General features: G+C 43.7%; 2 long non-coding RNA genes and 1 pseudogene across 2 annotated transcripts; 2 read left to right on the top strand and 1 right to left on the bottom strand.

Moving 5' to 3' along the window:
- Positions 1 to 1,640: 1,640 nt before the first annotated feature.
- On the bottom strand, positions 1,641 to 16,756 carry LOC107986897 (uncharacterized). Its single transcript, XR_001745730.1, has 3 exons — positions 16,673 to 16,756; positions 7,101 to 7,195; positions 1,641 to 2,213 (listed from the first exon to the last, which is right to left on the bottom strand). It is a non-coding gene; the product is annotated as an uncharacterized LOC107986897 (long non-coding RNA).
- Positions 11,952 to 12,240, top strand: RN7SL563P (RNA, 7SL, cytoplasmic 563, pseudogene; annotated as a pseudogene).
- On the top strand, positions 16,630 to 22,577 carry LINC02845 (long intergenic non-protein coding RNA 2845). Its single transcript, XR_928471.2, has 3 exons — positions 16,630 to 16,790; positions 18,917 to 18,972; positions 22,327 to 22,577. It is a non-coding gene; the product is annotated as a long intergenic non-protein coding RNA 2845 (long non-coding RNA).
- The last annotated feature ends 1,085 nt before the right edge of the window (positions 22,578 to 23,662 follow it).

Raw genomic sequence — 23,662 nt, 5'->3', positions numbered from 1 at the left:
CCCTACTGCTCATGACAGTTACATTCATTGACCTTGGACTGTGTAGAGGTTAGTGGTTAAGGACTTGGGCTCTGCAATCAGATAGACTATGTTTCAAATATCAGTCACTTAGGAGTCCTAAATGACCTTGGGCAAGACACATAGTTTAACTCTGAGTTTCCTCATCTTAAACTTCAGAATAACAATAGTACTGACCTCACAGGTTTGAGGAAGAATACATGGAGATAATCCAGTAATGTGCTAAGCATAATACCTTAATGCCTAGCACAGAGCAAGCACTCAATGCACGATAGGTGTTGGCATCAATTGTTGCCATTGTCTTCTTATTTTTATTATTGTCCCAGGTGTGGACTCAGTGGGGAAGCTCTAAGCCCATTCCCCATGACCAAGACTTAGCTTCTTTGTGGAGATAACAGTTTACTCTTCTTGCCAACGTACAGCTATACTAGATAGAGGTGTTCTGATTGCTCCAGGAGAGGGTTCTGTATTCTAACAGTGTAATCTGTCTACTTTTTTTTTTTTTTGGTAAAATATACAAAAAATGTCAACATACAATGAGATCAAAGCAGAGTTCTTTATAGTATGGTGTTTATTATGTGAGTGTCTGATGGTAGAGGAGAGGATGAACCAAATCCCAACCATCATTCAGGCATCTCCACTGGAACCACATTTTAAAACTCTGCATTTTACTAGTCACACTGTTCTGATTTTATATCTGCCTAGACTGCTGCCACCACATCAGGAACATTCCAGAAACTACTTGGTGTTCATCATGGACTCCAATATGATAGAAATTTGCTTTAGAGAAGCCTCAATTTCACCTAAAGCTCAGGCTTATGTCCTTATCCCTGACTTTAAAAACTGTATTTACGGATGGGAAGAAGATAGCATCGAAATCCTGTGGGGCCTGCCTGGGTCACATGTGCTATGATTGGATTTCCTCTGAGAAGGAAGCATTTTCCTCTTATTAGCCAATCCAGAAAAATCAAAGCAATTTATATGGTCCAGGATGTACCCAGAACTCTTTTTAAAGTCACTGATAATTTCAATCCATTTGAAATAAATTGGATCACTTTGATCTAAAATATTTTGTAATTTTTACAAATATGTCATTTTTACAGACATATTCCCAGTTATATAAAGACCACAGATGATAAGGATGTCATTTGTGAATCCAAAAGGAACTAGATTATGGAATGATATATACTTGAATTCAAAACAATATTTATAAAAACCACTGTGGAATTTCCTCTATTAAAAAGGGAAGGTAATGTTTTTAAAATCAGGAAAAATAAATACAATAAATAGCTGGGCACAGTGGCTCACATCTGTAATCCCAGCACTTTGGGAGGCCCCAGGTGGAATGAATGTTTGAGACCAGGATTTCAGGACCAGCCTGGGCAACATAGCAAGACTTCGTTGCTACAAAAAATGTTTTAAAAATTAGCCAGGCATGGTGGGTCATACCTGTAATTCCAACTACTTGGGAGGCTGAAGTGGAAGGATTTGAGGCTGAACTGATTTGAGCCCAGGGGTTCGAGGTTCTAGTGAGCTATGATCTTACCACCACACACCAGCCTGGGTAGCAGAGCAAGACCCTGTCTCAAAAAAAAAAAAAAAAAAAAGTAAAGACTCTAAATATAAACACTATTTCCTAGTTTTTCTAGCTAAATAGTCAAAGCAATAAGACACAGCTTTAATATGGACAGTGAATTTTTGACTAGCTGGAATTCTTTAGTAGGGGCATGCTTTGGTTGATGAGATTTTCTCTACCCTGTAAAATGTTTTTCTAGAACATAGTTTCTTAATCTTTCCCTTCCTCCTTTTTTCCTCTCTCCTGCCTATTTTTACTCCCTTCTTTCTCAAAAATGAGGATAGGGAATATAATGTAATATTTCAGCTTCTCTAGACAATCATCCCGAACACTGGATTTTACTATTCAGCCTTGAGATCTGGAAATTAGCTGGAATAAGTTCAATGTCATTCTATGACAATGAACAGTGAATAAGTCTATGGTTATTTGACAAATCCAAAGTCAGTCTTTATGACGTAGTCTTCATTTACTTTCTTTACAGAATACAATAGTATTTGAAAATAAATAATTCATGTATTCATATAGTGTCTTCTATCTTCTTGGCCCTCTGAAATGTAAGCTTCGTGGAACAATGACTCCCATCCTTGTTCTCAGTGGAATCTCCAGCACCCACAGGTACCTGGCACAAGAGAGTCTCTCATAAATGTTTGTTGGAAAATGAATATCTAGTTCTTTTATTCTTCACCGATTACCAAAAAGTCAAATGTAAGCATTTCTCCTTGATCCTTGTTAATGATGCCTTGCCAAAAAAAGTCCCTGCTTTTTACTACATTGTGTTCCAGAAAACTACATCATAAAGTTGACTGTTACAAAATAAATTCTATTTCCTCAGAAGGAGGGTGAACTTCTTTTGAGATAAAGGTATTTAATTAGAGAACGTCGTAAAAGAACACATATAATGTGTCTAAAATCATAGCCAAAGGACAAACAGTCTCTAAACCACTATAAACTCACAATATTATCTCCTAGATCACTGGTCTTCAAATTGTGCTCCTCAGACCCTACAGGTTCAGCCAAGGTATGTTGGGGACTTCCTTGCAAAATGAAAGGGGAAACCAATGAATGGGCTTCCAGATTCCCCAACTGTCCTCTGCCCCTTCAACTCTTTGGTTTCACTTAAATGAAGGATTCCATGGATAAGGAAGGCTTGAAAATGAGAATTTTAGATCTAGATGACCACTGCACCTCACGATTCCTTACAGTGCCCCAATTAACTTCTATCCACTGAGCCATTCAAAAACATCCCCTGAGTGCCTGCTGTCCGTGGCCCTGGAGGTGCAGCTGTAAATCAAGGGGACATGGCCTCTGACTTCATCGAGCTAGCATTCTAGTGGATGAGACCAAAACCAAGCCAATAAGTGCATATTTTAGACAACAATAGGTGGTAAGGAGAGCAATAAAGCAGGAGACATTTTGGGAGGTGGGCTCAGCTGGTTGTTTGGTCTCATCAGGTGATGAAGGCAGACCTTCCTGCTAAGGCAACGCTGGAGTAAAAGCATGAAGGAATGGAAAGAGGAGCTGAGTAAATTTCTGATGGAAGCGTGTCCTATCCCAAGAGAAGAGCAAGGGCAAAGGCTGTGAGGCAGGAGTATGCTTGGTGAGGCCATGAGGAGGCAGCAGCAGGAAGTAAGGCAGTGAGGTTGGGTTGGGCTGATCATGACCTGAAGGCCACCGCAGCAAGTGAGACAGGAAACCATGGGAGCATTTGTAGTAAAATGAGAGGACCTGACTCAGGTCATAGCAGGATCCCTCTGACTGCTGTGTTGAGAATAGACTGCAGAAGGGCAAGTATGGGTGCCATAGAGCAGTCAGGGGGCATCTGCAAACATCCAAGTGAGAGATGCAGGTGACTTGGGCAAGGTGGAGGTGGTAAATCTAAGGAAAGAAGTGGTCAGATTCAGCATGTATCTTGGAGGTAGAATCGACATGATTTCTGATGGATTGAAAGTGGATGTGAGAGAAGGATTGGAGACAGGGATGACCCCAAGGTTCTCTCCTGAGCTTGGAAGGAGGGAGTTGCCATTTTACTGAGCTGAAACCTGGAGGAGGAGCACATTGGAGGTATGGGGAGGTAAACGGGAAAGTTGAGAATGAAGAATTTGTTTTGAGATATGTTATGTGGTGATGTCAAGCCATCCATTGTACATACAAGACTGGAGCTTAGGGAACAGGTTCAGGCTGGAAATGCAAATTTGGGAGGTGTTAGTATAAGGTGATACGTAAAGCCTTCAGACCAGATAATAGCACCAGGAAGTGAGTATAATAGAGAGGGCAGGGGAGGACAAGAACGCTAGAACTTGGGTGGGCACTCTGGCTCCACACAGATGAGGAAGAACAACTGAGGGGCTACTATCCCAGACCAAGAACACTTGGATACACCTATGAGTTTGCCTTTTTGTCTCCTGCTGTTGGAGTTTTATGCTGATCACAGTGCTCAGCAGAGACTTTCAATAAATCTGGGAAGGCAGGAAGAAAGGAAAGAAAGGAGGGAGAGAGGGAGATGAGAGGGAAGAGGGAAGGAGTGAAGGAGGGAAGAGGGATGGAAGTTCTCCAGTGTGTCCTGAAGGCAGGCTACTAAAACTGTACGGGAAAGACTGCTGGGACTGAGGACGTCGGAAACCTGGATGCTAGGATGCTGAATGGGTTGTCTACAAAGCTATTTAGACATGTGATGTGGCAGTTCCCTGTGATGATGGTAGAATTTAGGGGGAAAGGAAAAGTGTGAGCCAGAAGACAAAGTCCTCAATGACTGGAAGGAAATGAGTGGATAATCTACAGATGACCTCAATGAGTCCCAGAGAGCCAGATCAAATGCCACAAGTCTGAAAGGAGGAGGGGTTTGCTTGAGAGTGTTGAGGCAGCAAATGGGGGAGGCAGAGGAGCCATCTTCCCCTAAATGGACAGCAAAAAGTAGTCCCTGGGAGAGAGCCAGGTTTTAGCTAAGAAAGGAGAGGAAGTTTTGTGCAAATCAAGTAGCGGATGCAGAAGAGTTTGATCCCCATAAATAAATGTTTCCAAAGGCACATGAAAGGAAGGTCAGTAGTGATAGTGAAAGGAAGAATCAAGAAGAAAGCATGGAGTATTTGTAGGATAACAGTTCAAGGAACTGCAGGATCTTGCATTTTGTCCAGAGGCCAATGTAGACAAAGGAGGGAGGCATGATGGATTTATCCATCTTCCAAATTCTGGCCACCATAGACCAAGCATTTGGCTGGTGCTGACAGCCTGGTAATGTTACCCAAACACAGTTGTTGCTCAGCCTTTGTATAGAACATTCTGATAAAATGCCCTGGTGTCTCCCTAAAGAATTCTAGTTCAAGTGTCGAGGAGAGGGTCAATTGGCCTTCAACAGAATCACAGCAGGCCTTAGGGCCAGGAAGCCTAAGGATTATGTACTGAAAAGGCAGGGGGGACTTGTGGGAAGGGAAGGTGACGTTCCCAAAAGAATGCTTCCCCAAGAAAGGTGAAGGGGACCAGCTGGGTTTCTGCCCTATTCCATCCTCCCACCTGGGTGGAGCTCTGGAGGCTCAGATGGGCAGGACTTATGACTTCTTGAGCCAGGCTCAGGATAACTTGGAGAAGAGGACCCTCCGATAGTCCTTTTCCATCTGGTTGTCTCCCTTTCTATTCTTCCCATGATTGTCCTATCTTGAGCTAGTCCTGCTGAACCATTCATAGAAAATGAACCTCTCTGTCTGCTTCCTGCTCGACCATGAGATCCTCAAGGACAGAGAAGAGTCTTAGCCATGATGGTATCTCCACCATGTCGAACCTTGCCTTTATTCAGGCATCTAAGCATCTGAAGATGAAAAGAAGATGGTTAAGGATTCAGAGAGTCTCACCCTCATGATTTGGCAGCCCAGAATGTCTCTGCAAGTGTCTAGGCTGCCCCCTTTCTTTGGGCCAACTAGGTACACAGAATAAACCAACAGCAGTCAGCCTGCAGTAACTAAGTCCCACTCTCCATCTCCCTGGGCCATGTTCAATTTAAATAAATAAACACTAAGGATCTTTTCAATTCTCCATTAATCATTCCTCTGATTCAAGCACTACCAAATGTTTGGGGTTCTCTATTCCCATAGTGAGAACGAGCTTATGGGACCAGCTTTCAGGCAAGTGGAATAGAGCCAAGCAGGGGCTCGAGCCCTGGTAAAGAAGGCATGGAGGAAGGTGAAGAAAGGAATGCTGAAGACAAATGTGTTCTCCCCTTGGTTTGCCCTATTTTTTAGCATCTGAACTGTACACAGTGATTTCTTCATGTTTCTAGTTAGTTTCTCCTATAGGTTCATATTTCGCTTGTGGGGCTTGATGTCCCAAAGCCTTTCATTGGGTTCACCTTTCCGATGTGCACTGACAATTGCCCACTGCTTGGCTGAGACAGAATTCTCATCTTCCTGCATCATTTATCCACACTAGGCCTCAAGAGAAAATGAAAAAAAAATGTCTATTCACTCTCCCCTTCCGGACTAGTTACCATGCCTAGTCTGGTTCTGATTAATGCGAGGTAGATGTTGGGATGTTGGCAAGAGTACCCTTGGGGGCCAAAGTGCTCAACAACCGTTTGGAGGGGAGGACAGGTCACACCATGAAGGGTGAACCTGATAGGAAAGGGGCAAATGAAAGGGGCTGTCAGGAGTAAGGAAGCCACTAAACTATGGGAAGAGAACTGACAGGGGAGAGGGGAGGACGTGAGGGAACCTGTCCCTCCTTCCAAGAAAGGAGATGAGCTGAATGTCACCAGTTCCTTAGGAGATGAGACCCACAACTTCATGGCTCAGTTTGTTTGGATGTTGCCTTCTGTTTTATAAGTAGTTCAAACCAGGACACTGGCTATCAACAAAATCTTATGGGTTATTATTACCCTATTTTTAGACTTGAAAGGACACAGTACATTTGTGATCACAAATGAGGGCCCGGCAGCCGCAAATTGGTTTTAAGTGTGTGGGGAAGTGGCTGATCTCCTCAGATCTAAGTCCCAGGATGAGGCAGGTGGGGACATATGAGCAGGGCCTCAGGAAATCAATAGCCAGGCAAGAGCTAGAATGAGATGGGCACTTTCAAGGAAAACAGGCCAAATTCAAAAAGTTCTGTTTTCTAAATCTCCAACTCATGCAAGGACAGTCAGAAAAAATATGCGTGACTACTGTCATCATTTATGTCTTGATTCACATGACAGCTCATATTTATGATTTTCTTTTTTGAGATGGAGTCTCACTCTGTTGCCCAGGCTGGAGTGCAGTGGCATGATCTTGGCTCACCACAACCTCTCCCTCTCTGGTTCAAGCAACTCTCTTGCCTCAGCTTCCCAAGTAGCTGGGACTACAGGTTCATGCCACCATGCCCGGCTAATTTTTTTATTTTTAGTAGAGATGGGGTTTCACTATGTTGGCCAGGTTGGTCTCATACTCCTGACCTCATGATCCACCCACCTCAGCCTCCCAAAGTGCTGGGATTACAGGCATGAGCCACTGTATCCCTGGCCCATACTTATGATTTTTAATGATACCTGGTACCTTCTTGTTTGAGCATCATTTCTTGTCTTTGAGTCCTTTTGAACAGAGACTTTTCTATGATGTAGGGTATGCTTTTCTCACCAGGGAACTGAAACAGACACAAAGCAATAGGCCAATATCAGGTCCTTGGAGGCATGGCTTAGAGGACAGTATGGGGATGGGGACACTGAGAAGCCAGGGCTCAGCCCAGACCAGGGATATGGACTGGTCGTAAAAGCCAGAGCAGGTAAAAGATTACCCTCTAGGGAGTCAAGTAATGACTGCAGGTAGGAGGGGCCTAAAGGACCCTTAGTCATGAGAGAACCCTCCACTAGCTGCCTACACTGAGGATTCTGGGAGCTGTGCAGATGACCAGCTGGGACCTTTGGCCCTGGATGAGGATGGACCTCATGGAGCAGAAGAATCTCTTTTCCAGAATAGGCAGGCCCAGTGGGCCTAGGTTGAGACCAGGCTAATAGCTTCCTTACCTCTGATCTTGGCCCTCTAGAGGTTATTACTTTTATGGTAAGAAAAATCAGGAAAGATTACTCAAAAGAAAACTCTGTCTACTGAAAAAGTGCTTCTCTTGAAGGTTCAGAGCAGAGCTGGCCTGAGCAACCTTCTTGGAGCTGGAGGCCAGTGGGGGCCCCAGACCTGTCTACTCTACTAGCCTCATGGGGTCTCCAGGAGGGAGAAAGGAGGCAGAGGGAAGATGACACAAAGTCAAGCCTAAAAGGCAGGACCACAAAGATGCCAGAGCTTTTAATAACCTATTGGCTTTTCACCAGATAATTTTCATCCTGATCACTGTGACCTGTCAATGTCATTGACCTGACCCACATAGATCCATCCTGTCCTCAGAGACAGAATGCAGAGGGGGGCTTAAAGTGCTGCAGCCAGAGAGGTGATCTGAGCAGCTGGACTTAATCTCAGATAGTGCATTTTTTATCTCCCTGAACCTTTCACACCTGCTGAGTGCCAGGCTTTTGCTAGCTGTTTTATAAAGATTCTAATATGGCATCTTCACAGCAATCTTTACAGGATATGTATCATTATTTTTATTTAATAGATGGAGAGACTAAGACTCAAAAGACTAAGGAATTTGCCCAAGGTCAGATGGGCTGGGATGTCAACTGCAAAGCCCATTCTCTCCCATCTGCATTGCATTTCTGAAGGTGTCCGAGCAGAAAAGAGCAGAAATTTTAAGCAGTATTTCCTGCTTAAGCCAAAAATAGCTTGAACCTTTCTTTGTCATCCAAGAACATCATTATGAATGCCCTCCATTGAGATATGTGTTACAATTCAGCCTCACTTCTTAAAGTGTATAGAATCGTTCTCCGCTATACCAAATGTCCCCCAAACAGCTGTGCACTTTTTGGTAGCCTCCTTTCGTAGTTTCCTTTCCTGCTTGCTGTAGTCCATGTTTCTCAGCAGTTTCCAGTTTTTCAGTATTTTCATGCACACCTGCTGCCAGCAGGCCTGAAGATAGTTCTGCCTTATATATGAGAAGTTTACAAAAGCTATTAACTGCTCAAAGACCTTTTCTCTGACTTCAGTGTTCACCATTAACCTCTGAAGGGCTGGAGTCACCAAACACCCAATTTCAACAACACTGAGGTACGTTCTCTCAACAGCTGACGAATCAAATTGAGCTTACCTATGAAACTGTATTATTTAAACTCTCAATTTTAGATTTGCAGAGAAGTCACAAAGATAATGCATGGAGGTCTCCTATACTCTTCATCCAGCTTCTCCTAATGTTAGCATCTTACCTATCCACGGTATGTTTGTCAAACTAAGAGACCAACATTGGTTGTATATGTACATTTAATATGCAACAGGATACAAAATGTACATTATGTAATTTCTGATTATCTAGGTAATCTCATTTGGATGCAATTGTCTAGGAATCCAGTTTCTTCTTGATGTCTCAGGTGATGAAGCTCTTTGTGAAAAAATGCTCTACTACCCCCTTCCGCAGTGAGAAGTTTACAGCTGTGGCAAATCCAAACATTTGGTCTTTTATTTCTTTATTTTTGAGTTGAATCAAGAGAAAGAATGAAATGTACTTACAACAAAATAGTAGCAAAGTACATACATAATTTCACAATTACTGGTTTGATTGGTGTATCAAGTCTTCAGACTTGCACCCATGGGTAAATTCTATTTACTTAATTATGGAAGAATAAATGAGTCAGTTGCTGCTGCATTAATTTCACTTGACCCAGTGGATAAAATCCATTCTGTAATTTCCTTCTCCCTTAGATTTCAGAAAACTTGAACACAGTCATTGGCAAGTGTAGTTGTTACTAAAAAAAACCATTAGGGAGTGGGACCACTATCTTATCAGCTCTCTATTTAGCACCTGTGTAACAGCCAGATAATACAAACAAAGAAAAGAAGGTGGAGAACAGAAGGAGTGAGGGGGAGAAAGAAAAATGTATTTTCATGAAAAGACATGAAGGAAATTTAAATGCATATTACTAAGGGAAAGAAGACAATGTGAAATTGTACAGCTATATACTGTACAATTTCAATAGTATAACAGTCTGGAGAAGGTCACAGTGGTTGCTAAAGGTTAGGGGAGGGAGGGATGAATAGGCAGAGTGCAGAGGATTTTTAGGGCAGTGAAAATACTTTTTATGATACTGTAATGGTGGATACATGCCATAGTACCTTTGCCCAAACCCAGAGATTGCCCATCAACAGTAAGCCTTAATGTAAACTAGGGACTCTGGGTGATAATGATGTGCCAATGCGGGTTCATTGATTGCAACAAATGTACCACTTGGTGAGGAATATTGACATTGGGAGATGCTGAGCATGTGTGGCTGCAGGGGTAGACGGGGTATCTCTGTACCTTCTGCTCAATTTTTCTATGAACCTAAGCTGGTCAAAATATAAAGTCAAATAAAAAATTTAAGAGGTATTTTAAAGTTGTTGAGACAGAAAAAATAATCAGTTAAATGAACTTATGAGACATTCAGGCAACAGAAAATGAGATTGTAAGAAAACCAGGAGACTTCGGTATATTAGGGCAGGTCCCTGGGAACAAAGTTTGAGAGACAGAGAGAGAGAGAGATTTGGGAAAGCCACAGGAACAGCACCTATAAGGAAGTAAGGGGAGCAGGATGGGACAGAGAGAGGCTTGAAATGTGATCCCATTACAGTGGAGCCTCAGCCCATCCAAAGGGCAGCTCTGGAACTGGCATGATCCTTTAGAATTGTCCCAAACTGAGATGGGGGAGCTGGAACTCATACCTCGGTATCAACCAGTCCTTAGGTGCAGGCTATTCTTGCAACAGGGGAGTAAGTTTAGTCAAGTCAGCTTCCTCCATCTGAGGGCAATTCCTGGAGATAGACTTAGCCCTGAGCTGTCAGTCACCAACAAAGCTGGCAGCCAGAGCAACAAGTTCCTTGGTCCTGCAGCAGGGATCTCGGTAGCACACCAGAGCATCTAGTATACACGGTATCCTCAAGTCCAAGAGAAGAGAATGTTTCAGGAAAGGAAGAGCCAGCCATATGGGATATTTCTGAAAGGCTGGGTTAGAGGAGGATACAGACGTGGCAGATGTAGGTCATCGTGATCTTAACCAGAGAAATTTTAGTGGAACTGGAAGGATGCAAATCCAACTAGAAAGACTGAGAAGAGAAGGAAGGATAGGGAAATGAAGACAGCAGTACAGACAATTCTCTTGAGATTTTTGAGGTCAGTCAAGAGGAGCAGAGAGATTGGATGTTAAATGGAGAGGGGCATGGGGCTAAGGGTAGTTTGTTATTTGCTTTAAGTTGGAAGATACTAGAACGTGTTTGCCGACAAGCAAAATGACATGAATGATGGAGGAAATTGAGATGCAAGAGAGGGAGGGGAGAGTTTCAGGAGTCATGTCCTTGAGAAGGTGAGAAGGAATAGGATGCAGGGCACAGTTGGAGGGGCTGGTCTTGGACAGGGGGAGGGATACATCATTCATAGTAGTAACAGGGTTGGCCTCCAGAAGATACTAGGTATATACATATAACTATATATATAGAGAGAGCATGAAGCAGATGTGTGTACAGAGGAGAAATGGGACAGGCTTCTGATGGCTTTGCAAGTCCAGGCCCTCCCTGAGGCCTGCCTGGAGACCCTCTTCTATGCCATCAAATACCTCTTTGTCTTTACTACAAACATCCCTTTCTTGGTAAATTTAACTCTACTGAGATACTGATTTTTGCAACCAGAATCTTATCTATGATATGGAGCATTGCCTGACTGACATGCAATTAGCTTCAGGCCCAAGAAGACACCCTTGATACGAGCCAGCTTCAGCAGAGAGAGCTACCCTGCCACGTGACTCAGGCCCTTTCCTAGAACTATACCATGGATCTCATACAACACTGATCTGTCCAGTGCCAGTCCACTAGTGAAAGACTGGATGCAAGAAAATGCAAAATCTAAGGAACAATTAAGATAAATCCAATCTATTTTTCAATAAATAATATCTAGACTTCAAATAGATTCTATGATGACTAGATAGAAACATAAAGTAAAACAGAACACTGATTTTAATGCCCATTATGATAGCACTGTAAAAAAAATGCATTTGTTTGGGAGGCCGAGGCAGGCAGATCATGAGGTCAGGGAATCGAGACCATCCTGGCCAACATGGTGAAACTCTGTCTCTACTAAAAATACCAAAATTAGCTGGACATGGTGGCACGTGCCTATGATCCCAGCTACTCAGGAGGCTGAGGCAGGAGAATCACTTGAACCAGTGAGTCAGAGGTTGCAGTGAGCCAAGATCGCGCCACTGCACTCCAGCCTGGTGACAGAGTGAGACTGTCTCAAAAAAAAAAAAAAAAAAAAAAGCATTTGGACTGAGTTTGGTGGTGTGCACCTGTAGTCCCAGCTACTCAGGAGGCTGAAGCAAGAGGGGCGCTTGAGCCTAGGTGCTCTGGACTGTCGTGAGCTATGTCTACCTGGTGTCTGCATTAATCATGGCATCAATATGGTGACCTCCCAGCATCAAGGGACCACCAGATTGTCTAAGGAGGGGTGAACCAGTCCAGGTTGGAAACGGAGCAGGTCAAAACTCCCGTGCTGAGCAGTCATGCAATCGCACCTGGAATAGCCACTGCACTCCAGCCTGGGCAACACAGTGGGAGCCCATATCTTAAAAAACAAAAAAACAACAACAAAAAAACCCAAAACACATTTGGGAATAAGATGGGAAAAATACACCAAAGTGGTAATAATAATAATGTGTTAGGTTAATGGGACCATGTATGTTTCCCCCTAATTTTCTCTATTTTAATTCTAAAATGTGGCTATATCATGTAGACAATTTAATGCAACTCTTCTTCCTGAAGCTCACACCCAAGCAGCTGGGGTGGTTTCCCGGATGTTCCCAAGTTATCACAGATTTTATGTCCAAAAGGAAGAAAATACTCACTCAAGAATTGGGGCCAAAGAAGGCCATCAGAGGAAGTAGTTGTTAAAATCAAAGAGGACACCTACCTTCTGGCCAGGGACACCAATTACAGTCCCACAATAAAGCCCAAGATGAGAACTGGGTGACTACTTGAGCATGATCAGATTTTTCAGCCTGTTCCCATTGCAGGAACACTGCCATGAAATCTCTGAAATGTAAGAAAAGGCTGGGCACATGTGGCCGGCTCCTGTGGCAGGCCCTGCCCCTTCCTGGTCCTCTTTTGTGCCTGTTCTCTCGGCACGTGGACCTCCCTCAGCATTGCTCTTTCTGAAAGTACCGAGGGTTTTATTAGGAACCACACTGAGCACTGACCCTGAACTTCATCTTTGCTAAATACTTTCAAATTACCTTAATGAGGATTCCCCTCCACCTCCCAGGGAGGCCAGTTTAAAGGTTGTCCTATGACTCTTCTTTCACAGTGAGGAACAACAGGTCATTAAATGGCTTACTCAGAGACCCACTGGGGCAACTGGAGCAAGAACTTTGTGTTCCTCTGGGCTCAATACTTTTCTTAGCTCACCGAGCCCAGCCAATGCTTCAGGCAAGTGAGAACTGAAAAGAATAAACAGTGATGGGGGAAGGAGGACTTGTCACCCAAGCTCTGCCCTGAGTAAGCAGCCATGCTTCTGTGCACCTGCTCACTCCCTGTCCTTTCTGCTGTTACAGACAAACTAATGGAGCCCTATTGTTCCTCCAGCTTCAACAGAGGCCAAGGAAGAGTGGACTGCTGTGGGGTTCAGGTTCACCAAATGAGTGAGACACCCACCCCAGAGCTAAAATACAATACAATGATTGGCCTTGTGTTTGTGGATAGTAATAACTAAGGCAGGTAGCAGCGTGCTGGCAGGAAGTTCTTCCTAGAGAGCAAAGGAATGTGGGAATAATTTGAGAAGAGGCCCCACCCATCAACAACTGGAGCCAGTTATCAAATAAACTGAAATTAATTACTTTATATTCAATATTACTATTTAGTGAGTGGTACTGTGTGCAGGGCCCACGCTAGGTGGTAAGCAAAGCCACGGCAGTCCCACATGTCAATACCCACTGTCAGGGGCCAGGGATGCTGGTCAGGTAGGCTCATGCATTGGTGTAGTCCTAGGGAGCATTTGGACTAGTCTGTGTGGTCTATTGGCAAGACCAGATAAAGGCAAAAGGCAGGTGCAGAATTCACATCCGTGGAGAGGTGCCCGGAGTCACACCTACTGGTGGGTACATGGCAGAGAAGCCAAGAGAGTTAGCAGGGCTCCATCACCTCTTACCTGACCTGCAGGTCTCTGCTTCAGTGCCACTTCCTCCCAGAAGTCACCCAATCACTCTCAGGCATATGTTAAGCTCCCCTGTTAGATACTCAGATTGTACCATTCATGAGTGTGATTGTTTGATTAAAGGTCTGTTTCCATGAAAATAGGGATGGGAGAAGGGGCTCTGTCTTGTTCCCTGTTTGTCCTCAGCCTGGCACTAATAGGCTTTCTATTTATATTTAGTGAGCCACTAGCCTTCACAGCACTCACCACTTCAGAAGGCTGTAAGTGCTTGGATAATTCTTTATTGACTGTCTTCCTCCTTGCTAGGCTGTAAATCATAAGAGCACAGGAACCTTCTTTGTTTTGTTCTCCATCACATACATCTTTGGCACAGCATTTACACATGACAGCACTCATATTGTTGGTAGAAATCAATAATAAGTGAATAAACAAACATGAATAAAGGTCCAAAGATTAGAAGTGGGTAGGAAAAGGAAGACAATACCGAGAGGTTAGGAATTCAGTACGTCCAAGAACAGAGTTAGGCGAGCAGAAAGTGAGAAAGCACAGGACTTCTGTATCAATAGATGTGGAACGCCTAGAATCTCCTTTTCAGGAATGGACTGCATGGTGGGTGTAGTTAAGGGAACAGGGAAGGCATGCCATTATATTAGAGATGACTGACCAAGTCCAAATCTTCTTTATCCTAGAAGGAAAGCTAAGCCATTTATTTCCTACTCTGCAAAGTGTAAAGCAGGGATCCTTTCCTTTTGCGTGATGAAGCCTTAAGCTCCTGCAAAGTTTGGGGAACGGGGGAAAATGGCTTAGCAACCTGCAGGATCAGGGTTCCACAAATAACAGTGGATCTTAGACTCTTGTCTGGGAGCCTTAGTGCCTCTTGCTGAATCCCCGAATCACAAGGGCCTGACTAGTTATGCTGCCGCCTTCCTGTCTGGTAGATAGAGGCCTTAACACGCATCATTTGCGGCTGTTTTTGCTGGAACTTCTAATCCCCTTTCTTCCCAGGTGTGAGTGCAAAAGGCTCAGGGAAGGGTTCAGGAAGGAGAGTGAGCCTGCATGATGACATGAGAAGATGTGGTCCATCTGAAAAGCTACACAAGGCATCTCTCATCTCTCTCTTTGCAATAAATCTCCCTGGATCCCTAGACAGTGCTTGCCAGAGTTGGCTGCTAATGCAGAGACTTTCCTGGAAGTTAAGAAACAGTGTGAATATTCAAGAAGTATAAACCAAGTTCCAGATGGGAATTCCTGGAACCGTCTTTTTCTGGGTGATCTCCTCCCTCCACTACCATCCTAAAACTTGTTTTGATGGGCTGTTTTTATGAAATTCCTTCTTGTCTCCAACTTCTGCTTCCCACCCTTCTGGTCACCAAAATGGAAGGAAAAGCACTGAATTTTTAAAGCAGCTGCCTGACCCCCACAGCAACACACACACACACACACAGCCCTCCAAAACACTTTCTCCATTTTTAGCAAGCAAAAGGGGAGTGGGGCAGAAAGCAGGCTTTTGCAGTGATCTATCTTGTTTCCTGGTCAATCCATTTGGATGATGACTGACAGATGTTAAAATGGAGCCTCATAGTTTAAGGTGCCTGCACTGTGATTGACTCCATCTTGTTGCAATAAACAATTATTTATCACTAATACCTTGTAGGGCTCCTGGGAGAACAGAGGTGGCATACACTACACCACGCTCACCTAGTGTTCAATTTATTCTTGCTAATTTTACCAGTCTTTGGAGGGGGATGAACCAAAATTTTCCCTTCTGTGTGTGTGTGTATGTGAGTGTGTATGTAAGTCTGTATGTGTGTATGTGAGTGTGTGTACGTGTGTGTATGTGTGTGTATGAATGTATGTGTGTACATGAGTGTATGTGTGTAGGTGTGTGTGTGTGTATTTCAGTGTATGTGTGTGTATGAGTGTGTGTGTATGTGTGTGTCTGTGATTACTCTTCCATCTAATATTTTAGTCCAATTCATCCCCCCAAATTTTCAAGATAAATTTACTTAAATTCTTTTCAGTTCAAGTATCACAAATGTTGGTTTTCTATATCACTTGACTAGCCTGAAAAATGCTGGGCTTCTGTAAATTGCACTGGCTTGATTTAAGCTGTTGTCTAATTTGGCCTTAATCATAACAACAAAAAAATCATAAACAACAAAAATTCTTTGGAGTTTTACCAAAGTGAGGAGTTTCTATGTTCATTCAGACAAAGTGCTCACAATCATGTTTTTACTGAAATACAAAGATATAAAATGCTATTTCCAGGCAGGAGTAAAGAGTCATTCCCAAACTTGTAACTCTAAAATGATCTCATTCTGCTAATAAATGGAGCCCAGCGTATGTGTTGACAATGCTGGAGGGACGCACTGTCGTAGACTTTATTGTCAGGCTCTTGGCCTGACTTCAGCTTCTACTGCCCTGCCAGCTACATAGGTGTGTGTCAGTCACTTCACCTTTCTGGGCTGCGGTTTCCTTCTGTAGCTCACAAGGTGACCGTGCTTGTCTGTTTCTAAGGCCCCCTCTGGCTCTGGGGTGTCATGATACTTTGAATAAGGAGGAAATCATTTTGTCCAGGGCCAAATCTGGACCACTGCCTGATTTTGTGTATCTCACACACTAGGAATGGCTTTTTACAAGTTTTAGTGGTTGGAAAAATATAGTATTTCGGGAAACATGAAAATTATGTGGAATTTAAACTTCAGTGTCCATAAATAAAGTTGAACTGGAACACAGCCGGGCTCACTTGTTTGTGTATTGTCTGCGGCTGCTTTCACACGACAATGGCAGTGTTCAGTAGTTGCCATGGAGACAAGCCTATAATATGGGCCACAAGCCTAAAATACTTACAATCTGGCCGTTTCCAGTAAAAGGTTGCTGGCCCCTGGTCTCATCCAACTGCTTGATAGATGAGGACATTAATGCTGAGTGAACTGACTTGGCCAAGGTCCTGGTTCTTAAAGACAAGGTATAGTTATAGGAAGAAAGAGGCAAATAGCCATTTTGAAGCATACAAAGGAACAAAAACAATTAACAATAAGCCACGATTAAGGATGCAAAAGTAATTTCTTCCTCAAATGCCAAAGGATAATGTGTTCTACAACAGATAAGGACAAAGATATCATGAAACCCTTCCAGCACCCCACACCATTTGTGAGGAAGAACTGATATTTTCTTAATCTGGAATCAAATGACAATGGGCTGGTGAGGAGGATTTGGGAAGGGGTAGATTACATCAGAAATTGCTCGAGATTCTTCATACTGATAACACTCCAGGAAGCCTATATCCACAATTGCTGAAGGAAATGGAGGTGGACATTAGAAACGCTTTAGTGGGTCTTTTCAAAAGTGCAGATCTGGAAGGGGTGAGGCAATACAACGTCTGGGGACAGGAAGCCTGGACTAGACTAGAACTTTCGTCAGATGGAGGTCTAGTGTTAGGAAATCCTAAAGCCCTTTATGACACAGAGGCTCAACTTATAAGAGCCAGCATTGTTCTGAGGTTGGCCCCTACTAACCTCCTGGCAAGAGGTTAAATAGGAGCAAAATAAATGTTGCATTGGCAACATAGCAGTTTTGAAAAGCTTTAGACAAAGTTCCATGTGGGGATAAAGCTCCTCCCCCTTCAATTTACACAGGGCAGATTGCCTTTGCCTGGGAAGTTCCCGGTAGCGCGTAATAAATATTCCAAACCCAAGCATAAGTAGGGGTGAGATGAAACTGCTCCAATGTCCAAACTGTTGGCAGTCCACTACGTACCAAACATTACCCCTGTGGGAAGGGCCTTAGGCAGTTAAAGTATAAAGTTGAAAGTTGGGCGCAGTGGCTCATGCCTGTAATCCCAGCACTTTGAGAGGCCGAGGCGGTCGGGTCACTTGAGGTCAGGAGTTCAGGACCGGCCTGGCCAAATGGTAAAACCCTCTCTCTACTAAAAATACTCTACAAAAAATTAGCCGGGCATGGTGGTGGGCACCTGTAATCCCAGCTGCTCCAGAGGCTGAGGCAGGAGAATCGCTTGAAGTCGGGAGGCGGAGGTTGCGGTGAGCCAAGATCACGTCATTGCACTCCAGCCTGGGTAACACAACGAGACTCCATCTCAAAAAAATAAAATGAAATAAAATAAATAAAATGAAATAAAATTGAACTTACCAAATAGGATTTACCCTGGAAAATTGGATTATTTACAACACACAATACAGGTGCTGCAGAGTCAGTGAGAGTCAGGACGTTACTGTCTCAGTTTAACTCAGTGACAAGCTGCCCAGGGTTGCATCCAAAATCTAGGGAATGCAATGCGACAAGCTTGCGTTCCCATGTAACTTTGGACAGGTTGCTAAACCTGTCAAGCCTCCTTGTCTTCTCCTGTAATGCCAATAAGAACAATAATAATAGCACCTACTTTATGGACTACTGTATTTAAATGAGATTTTAGAGGTAAAGTGCTTGAGAGATGTTGGTCACTGGTAAGTGTTCATCAAATGCCTTCTGTTCACTGTTGGCTGCATTGTATGGCATATTAACTGAGAGCATGGATTTGGGTGCAAATAATCCTGGGTTGGAGTCCCAGCTTCACCACCAAGTAGCCTTGTAACCATGAGTAAATTCCTTCAATTCTTTGAGCTTCAATTTCTCTACTGTAAAATAATGATAATAATAGTTACCTCAAGGAGTTGTTGTGAGGATTAAATGAAAAAATATACTTACAGTGCTTGGGAGAGTTTCCAGCACTTAGATATCATTATCACCATCATCATCATCATCATCATCATCATTAATTGGTTGGTTCTGCCTTTAGAAAGCTTCTGAAGACAGCCTTCAACACAGGAAGGCTGATATAAGATGCTTATGTGGCACACAGAATATAAAAAGTTTTTACGTAAGTGATTTGATCCAGTGAAGTTCCTCATACACATTAGAAAGGCCAAGTGAGACGCCAGTGAGAAGGACTCCAGGGCCAATCCTGCCTGCCCCAAAACCCTCCAGGCAAGCCCAGAAGGTGCTCCCTGGATTCCCTACTTCAGAATCACTGGGGTTCTTGCTTCTTGTTTGCTCACCTTCTTTCTGCTAAATTCTGTTATTCTTGTTTGCTGCCAGGCTTCTCGACATGTGGAACTCACTGCCACCATACTGCCTCATGTTCCACGTAAGAGGTAAATGCCAGTCTCATATTTATCAATAATAAGGTAGAAACCATTGCCTCTGAGGAGGAAAGGGTGACTTTATGTCTGGTCCAATCTCCCTTCTTAGTTTGTGGAACCAGTACTGTTTTCTACCATTAACAGATCTGTTTGCTTATCTAATATTCCCAGATCAAATTACCCAGTTTCCACTCCGATGGGCTTGACAAACCTGCTCTCTCTATAACTTGGTACCCTGCACCCTTTCACACCTGCTGACTCCTTCACAATGAAGAGAAGGGAGCCAGTCTCCTGAGATTAAGGAATTATAAAAACATGTACTGTAGGTATCAGTGGCGCCTTATTTAGCACACATTTTGTGATAAGTCCAAGGTATTCTTTCCACTAGATTTAAGAACTGAGGATCTCTTCTGCCAAGTAAGCCAGATTGGTAGACTTGGCTTTCCATCCATTTCCCCATGTGCCTGTATGGGTGGGACACTAGAGAATAAATAATGCAGGAAATTCAGGGCCCTGTATTCCTAGGTTCATTCCTATAAGAATTGCTTCATCTAATCTCTTCATTTTACTGATGAGGAAATCAAGAAGCTGTAACTCACAGCTGGATTCTAGTCAAGCCAGATAGGAGCTTAGCTCTCTCGACTCTCGGGCCACTGCTCTTTCCTCCTTAAAATTTTGTTGCTTTCCAGGCTCATAGCTGGAGTGGATTTTCACTCTCTTTTAAAATTTATTTTTTAGAGACAGCGTCTTGCTCTGTCACCCAGGTTGGAGTGTAATGGTGCGATCATAGCTCACTGTAGTCTTGAACTTCTGGGCTCAAGGGATCTTTACACCTCAGTCTCCTGAGTAGCTAGGACTACAGATGCATGCCATCATGCCTAGCTAGAGGAGTGGATCCTCTGTGCCTTTTCCTTTTGTTCTATGCAGTCATGGCTCATTTGGGGTGAGCCTAATCTGTCTTCTTACCCTTGGGTCCCAGCTAATGTCTGGTCCTCTCTGTACATGCCATTCTCTGCAAACTTCCCCCAGTGGCTTGTGGTCGGAACCAATGCTTATTTGGGATGAATAATTCAGTTGCCTGGATCTAAATGGCAGAAAGCTTTGGAGTGTGGAGCGTGAAGCCACGACATGTTCTCTCAGTTTTGGGAAGGCTCAGAACCCAAGTTCCAGCAGAAAAGCCAACTCTGAGCTAGGCCAGAAACCAAGAGGGCCTTGGGGCCTGGAGACTCCAACCAATCTCCTCTCCAGCAGCTAGAGTCTGCAAGGACAGTCTGAGGAGTGTCCTGGTGCCTTACACTCATGGTTGTAGGTTGAGTTAAAGGGTGACTATAAGGCTTGTGTCTCTAGGATCCAATGATATTGGGCTCCAAAGGTATAAACAAAGTGGGTGGCCAAAGGCAGAAGCCTTAAGGGGAATGTGGGGAGCCAAGATACAAAAGAGTGTCGGAAACCAGACAAGAGCTCCTAGAGAATGTGTGTGTGTGCAGGTCTGTCCTGTCTCTGCCAAGACCATGTGGGCATCTCACTGAAGCTTCCCAGCAATTATTTGAGGTAGATGTTATTTTCCCCATTTCAAAGGCCAAAAAACTGAGTCTTGGAGAAGTTATTTGCCAAAGTCACACACCTGGAAAATGTCAGAGTCAAGACCAGAGGAGCCCAAGCCTTCTAACTCCACAGCTCATGTTCTATCCAGCTCACCATGCTGCCTTATAGACAGGTCAATCTGTGTTTACCAGAGAACTCAGACTGACATATGTGGCATGAGTCACACAGCCAACTATGCAGTCCTAGGGCTGGAAGGACACCACTAGTCATCTAGTCCAACTCTAAGTAGACTGATTTCCTTGGCCACAGTGGTTCTCACATCATGCCCTGAATTGGGGCCTTGGAGATTTCAATGGGGACAGAGAAGGAGGATGGACACAGGTCACCTGCGGTTTCCACTCATCTCTCAAACCCCCATCCCTCCAACCAGAGCTACCTGTTTCTTTGAGTTGGGATAGGGTTTAGACAACCTCAGTTCTTCCAGGAGCTCCAGCCTCTGCTTCAATACCCTGCATAAAAGGGAACTGCCCTAGAGCCAAGCAGGTAAAGATGCGTGGGCAGTGCTCATGAAGTTGTCTTCTTGTCTGAAGAGCCCTGCACCACAAATAAAAATGTGATGAGCTAAGCCTAGTACAAATGGCTGCCTTAGAATTTCCTCACATTCATTCATTCACTTGAGAATCATTAAATTATAACCACTGTACATCTGATCCAGCAATCTGGTTTTTACAGAGGCCCCAGTAGATTATGCTGTGGGACAAACAGGATAATCTCTCTGATGTCACCCTCAAAAGATTAAAGAAGAACACCTTTAAATCACAGCTAGTGATCTATCAGGCATAAACTTATCTCAGCTTTTTAATAGAGGTGCTATTTATGTTTTTGGCTGTCTTTACCTCTTGATATAACAGGTTCAGTAAGTTGCCACCACCTAGGCACTTCCTTTTACCTGCCCTATGTTTACCTCTCTCACTTTCCAGGGGTAACCCCCGGGGTGCTGTGTGTTGGTAAACATGCTCAACCTGCTGTGGCTGAAGCACTAGTTTAACAAATAATTCTTGAATTGACAGTCCAGACAAATGGTGTCATCGTAAATGCATATTGGCCAGATTTTCAGTCCGTTAAAATCCTTTCTAGGGGAGGGGCCACCAATGTTCTGGAATTTTGGACATGCTGAGCAGTTTTTCTATTATTTAGACAACTTTTGAATCCTCAGACAACTTTCAAACCCTTGGCATTTCTGAGTGGCTGGAGTAGGGGGTGTTGATTGCTTCTCATCTGTTACCTGGGTTCTTTCATATATCCTCACCTCTGTCTCGCTAGCCAACATATGTACATTTAGACACATTTAAGCAATCTATTATCTTTCAATATACCGAGACCAGAAAAATTTCATTCTGATGACCTCTGCACAAGCTGTTGGCAATTCCAGGACCTCTTTGATGCGTTCTAATATACCCCACTCTAGACATGCCTCAGTTTATAGGCATCACAAGGAAGAAGGGTATCACAGAGGAAGAAGGTTATAGTTCTGGATGAAGGATTTCTGAAAGCTAAGAGTATAATTATTTAAGTTCCAAAAAGTTTAACCCTTTGCAACCCAAGTTTCTTCATCTAGATCAGCACAGATCCAGGGTTCAAAATATGGCTTCACAAACTATAACAAGTATTTCCCTGTTTGGGTCCCATCTGCTAGCATGAAACTGTGATGAACATTAAGAGGAGCTGCTTCATCTCCTGCAGTGGGATGTTGTCTGATGGCTCCAACATTGTCCCTCTGCACGTTGTACCAAGGCCAGATTTCTCATGTTCTCTTCCCAGCCAATGATTGAACATGGTGGCGTTCCTGCAGGACCTGGGTCTCCTCAACCAGGAGATGCTGCCTCAAGAACTCCCCAGAAGCCTGGCTGAAACTTTCTTGGAATAAGGCTACAGTCTGAGACTCTTCCTACTTAATCCTCCTTCACAGGGGTCAGACCTACATCATGGTCTGATGGTTTTCCCAGCGTTGTTGGCTTCTTCCTTCTTCTCCTTCACAGGCAGTGCCCTCAATAAATGCTTTGCTCATCTAATCCTGACTTAGTGTCTACTTTTTGGGGGACCTGAACTAACACAAGAAACTGTAGACTTCTCTCCTTTAAAGTCAGGCTTCACCACATTCCCAGCTGTTTCCAGCAAGCATCTCACATGTGTTCATGAACATGGGCTACACAACATCCACTCTCTTCCTCCCGTCCTGTGCTGCTCCAGCTTCCTGGAGAGATGCCTGCATCACAGTCTTTGATATTCCCAAGCTTCATGGGGTCTCCACTGATGCTAACACCTCTTCTTCTATTTGTGGAGCCCCTGATACCCACTTTCTGCAGATGTATCAGAAGCCAGGGTATACCAGAACCCTCTGATGATCTGAAGCTATGCCCACTGCAGATGGATGCATCTAAGCCTACATGCTATGATAAGTCCCTTACCTTCGTTCATTACAAGGGTTCCCATGTAGAGCTGGATGGTGCTCCCATTGTCACATATTACCTTTTGTGAGAAGAGGTCATTCAGTTTTTGCCCAGTTCCCTTCCTTTAGAACGTAGACTCAGTCCTGAGCTGAAAGAACAGCTTGATGACAGATGTGCTACATTTAAACCATTCTCCTTTTCTGACTCTAGAAGAGTCTAACTTCCCTCTCTTTGGATGACTGTTTTCCTACAAGACTCCTTATTCCTTATTCCTTCATTCAAAGGATCTTCTTATGAGTCTTTAATACATATTAATTCTGTAGTGATAATAGCAAAGGCTCAAACCGGGCCTACCATATTCTGGGTTGCTCTATGTGGGGTTTTGTGGATTCATCTGTTTGTATGTGTGTTACATGTGTATGTGTGTGGCAAAACACGTGTAATTCTTACATTCCATCTTGCCTCTCCTTCCCACCTCATGACACCCCCATCTGTCACAGCCTCCATAGCCTTCCCTGCTCTTTCAGCTGCCAGCCTCCACCCCACAACCCCATGCTCTTCTATTGTTGCCAGTATTTCCACTTGACTGGTTTTGGGGTCTTTTTTTTCATTATTTTGTGTTTCAAAACATTTTGGGGGAACTTGTAGAGTCAAAGTTGTGCTAAAATGTAAAAAGTTAAAGACATTGGCGTACAGCAAAGTAAAGT

The sequence above is a fragment of the Homo sapiens genome, chromosome 8, assembly GCF_000001405.40.
Source record: "Homo sapiens chromosome 8, GRCh38.p14 Primary Assembly".
NCBI lineage: Eukaryota > Metazoa > Chordata > Mammalia > Primates > Hominidae > Homo > Homo sapiens.
The sequence above is the reverse complement of the archived record's forward strand: the minus strand, read 5'-3'. Positions and strand labels throughout refer to the sequence as shown.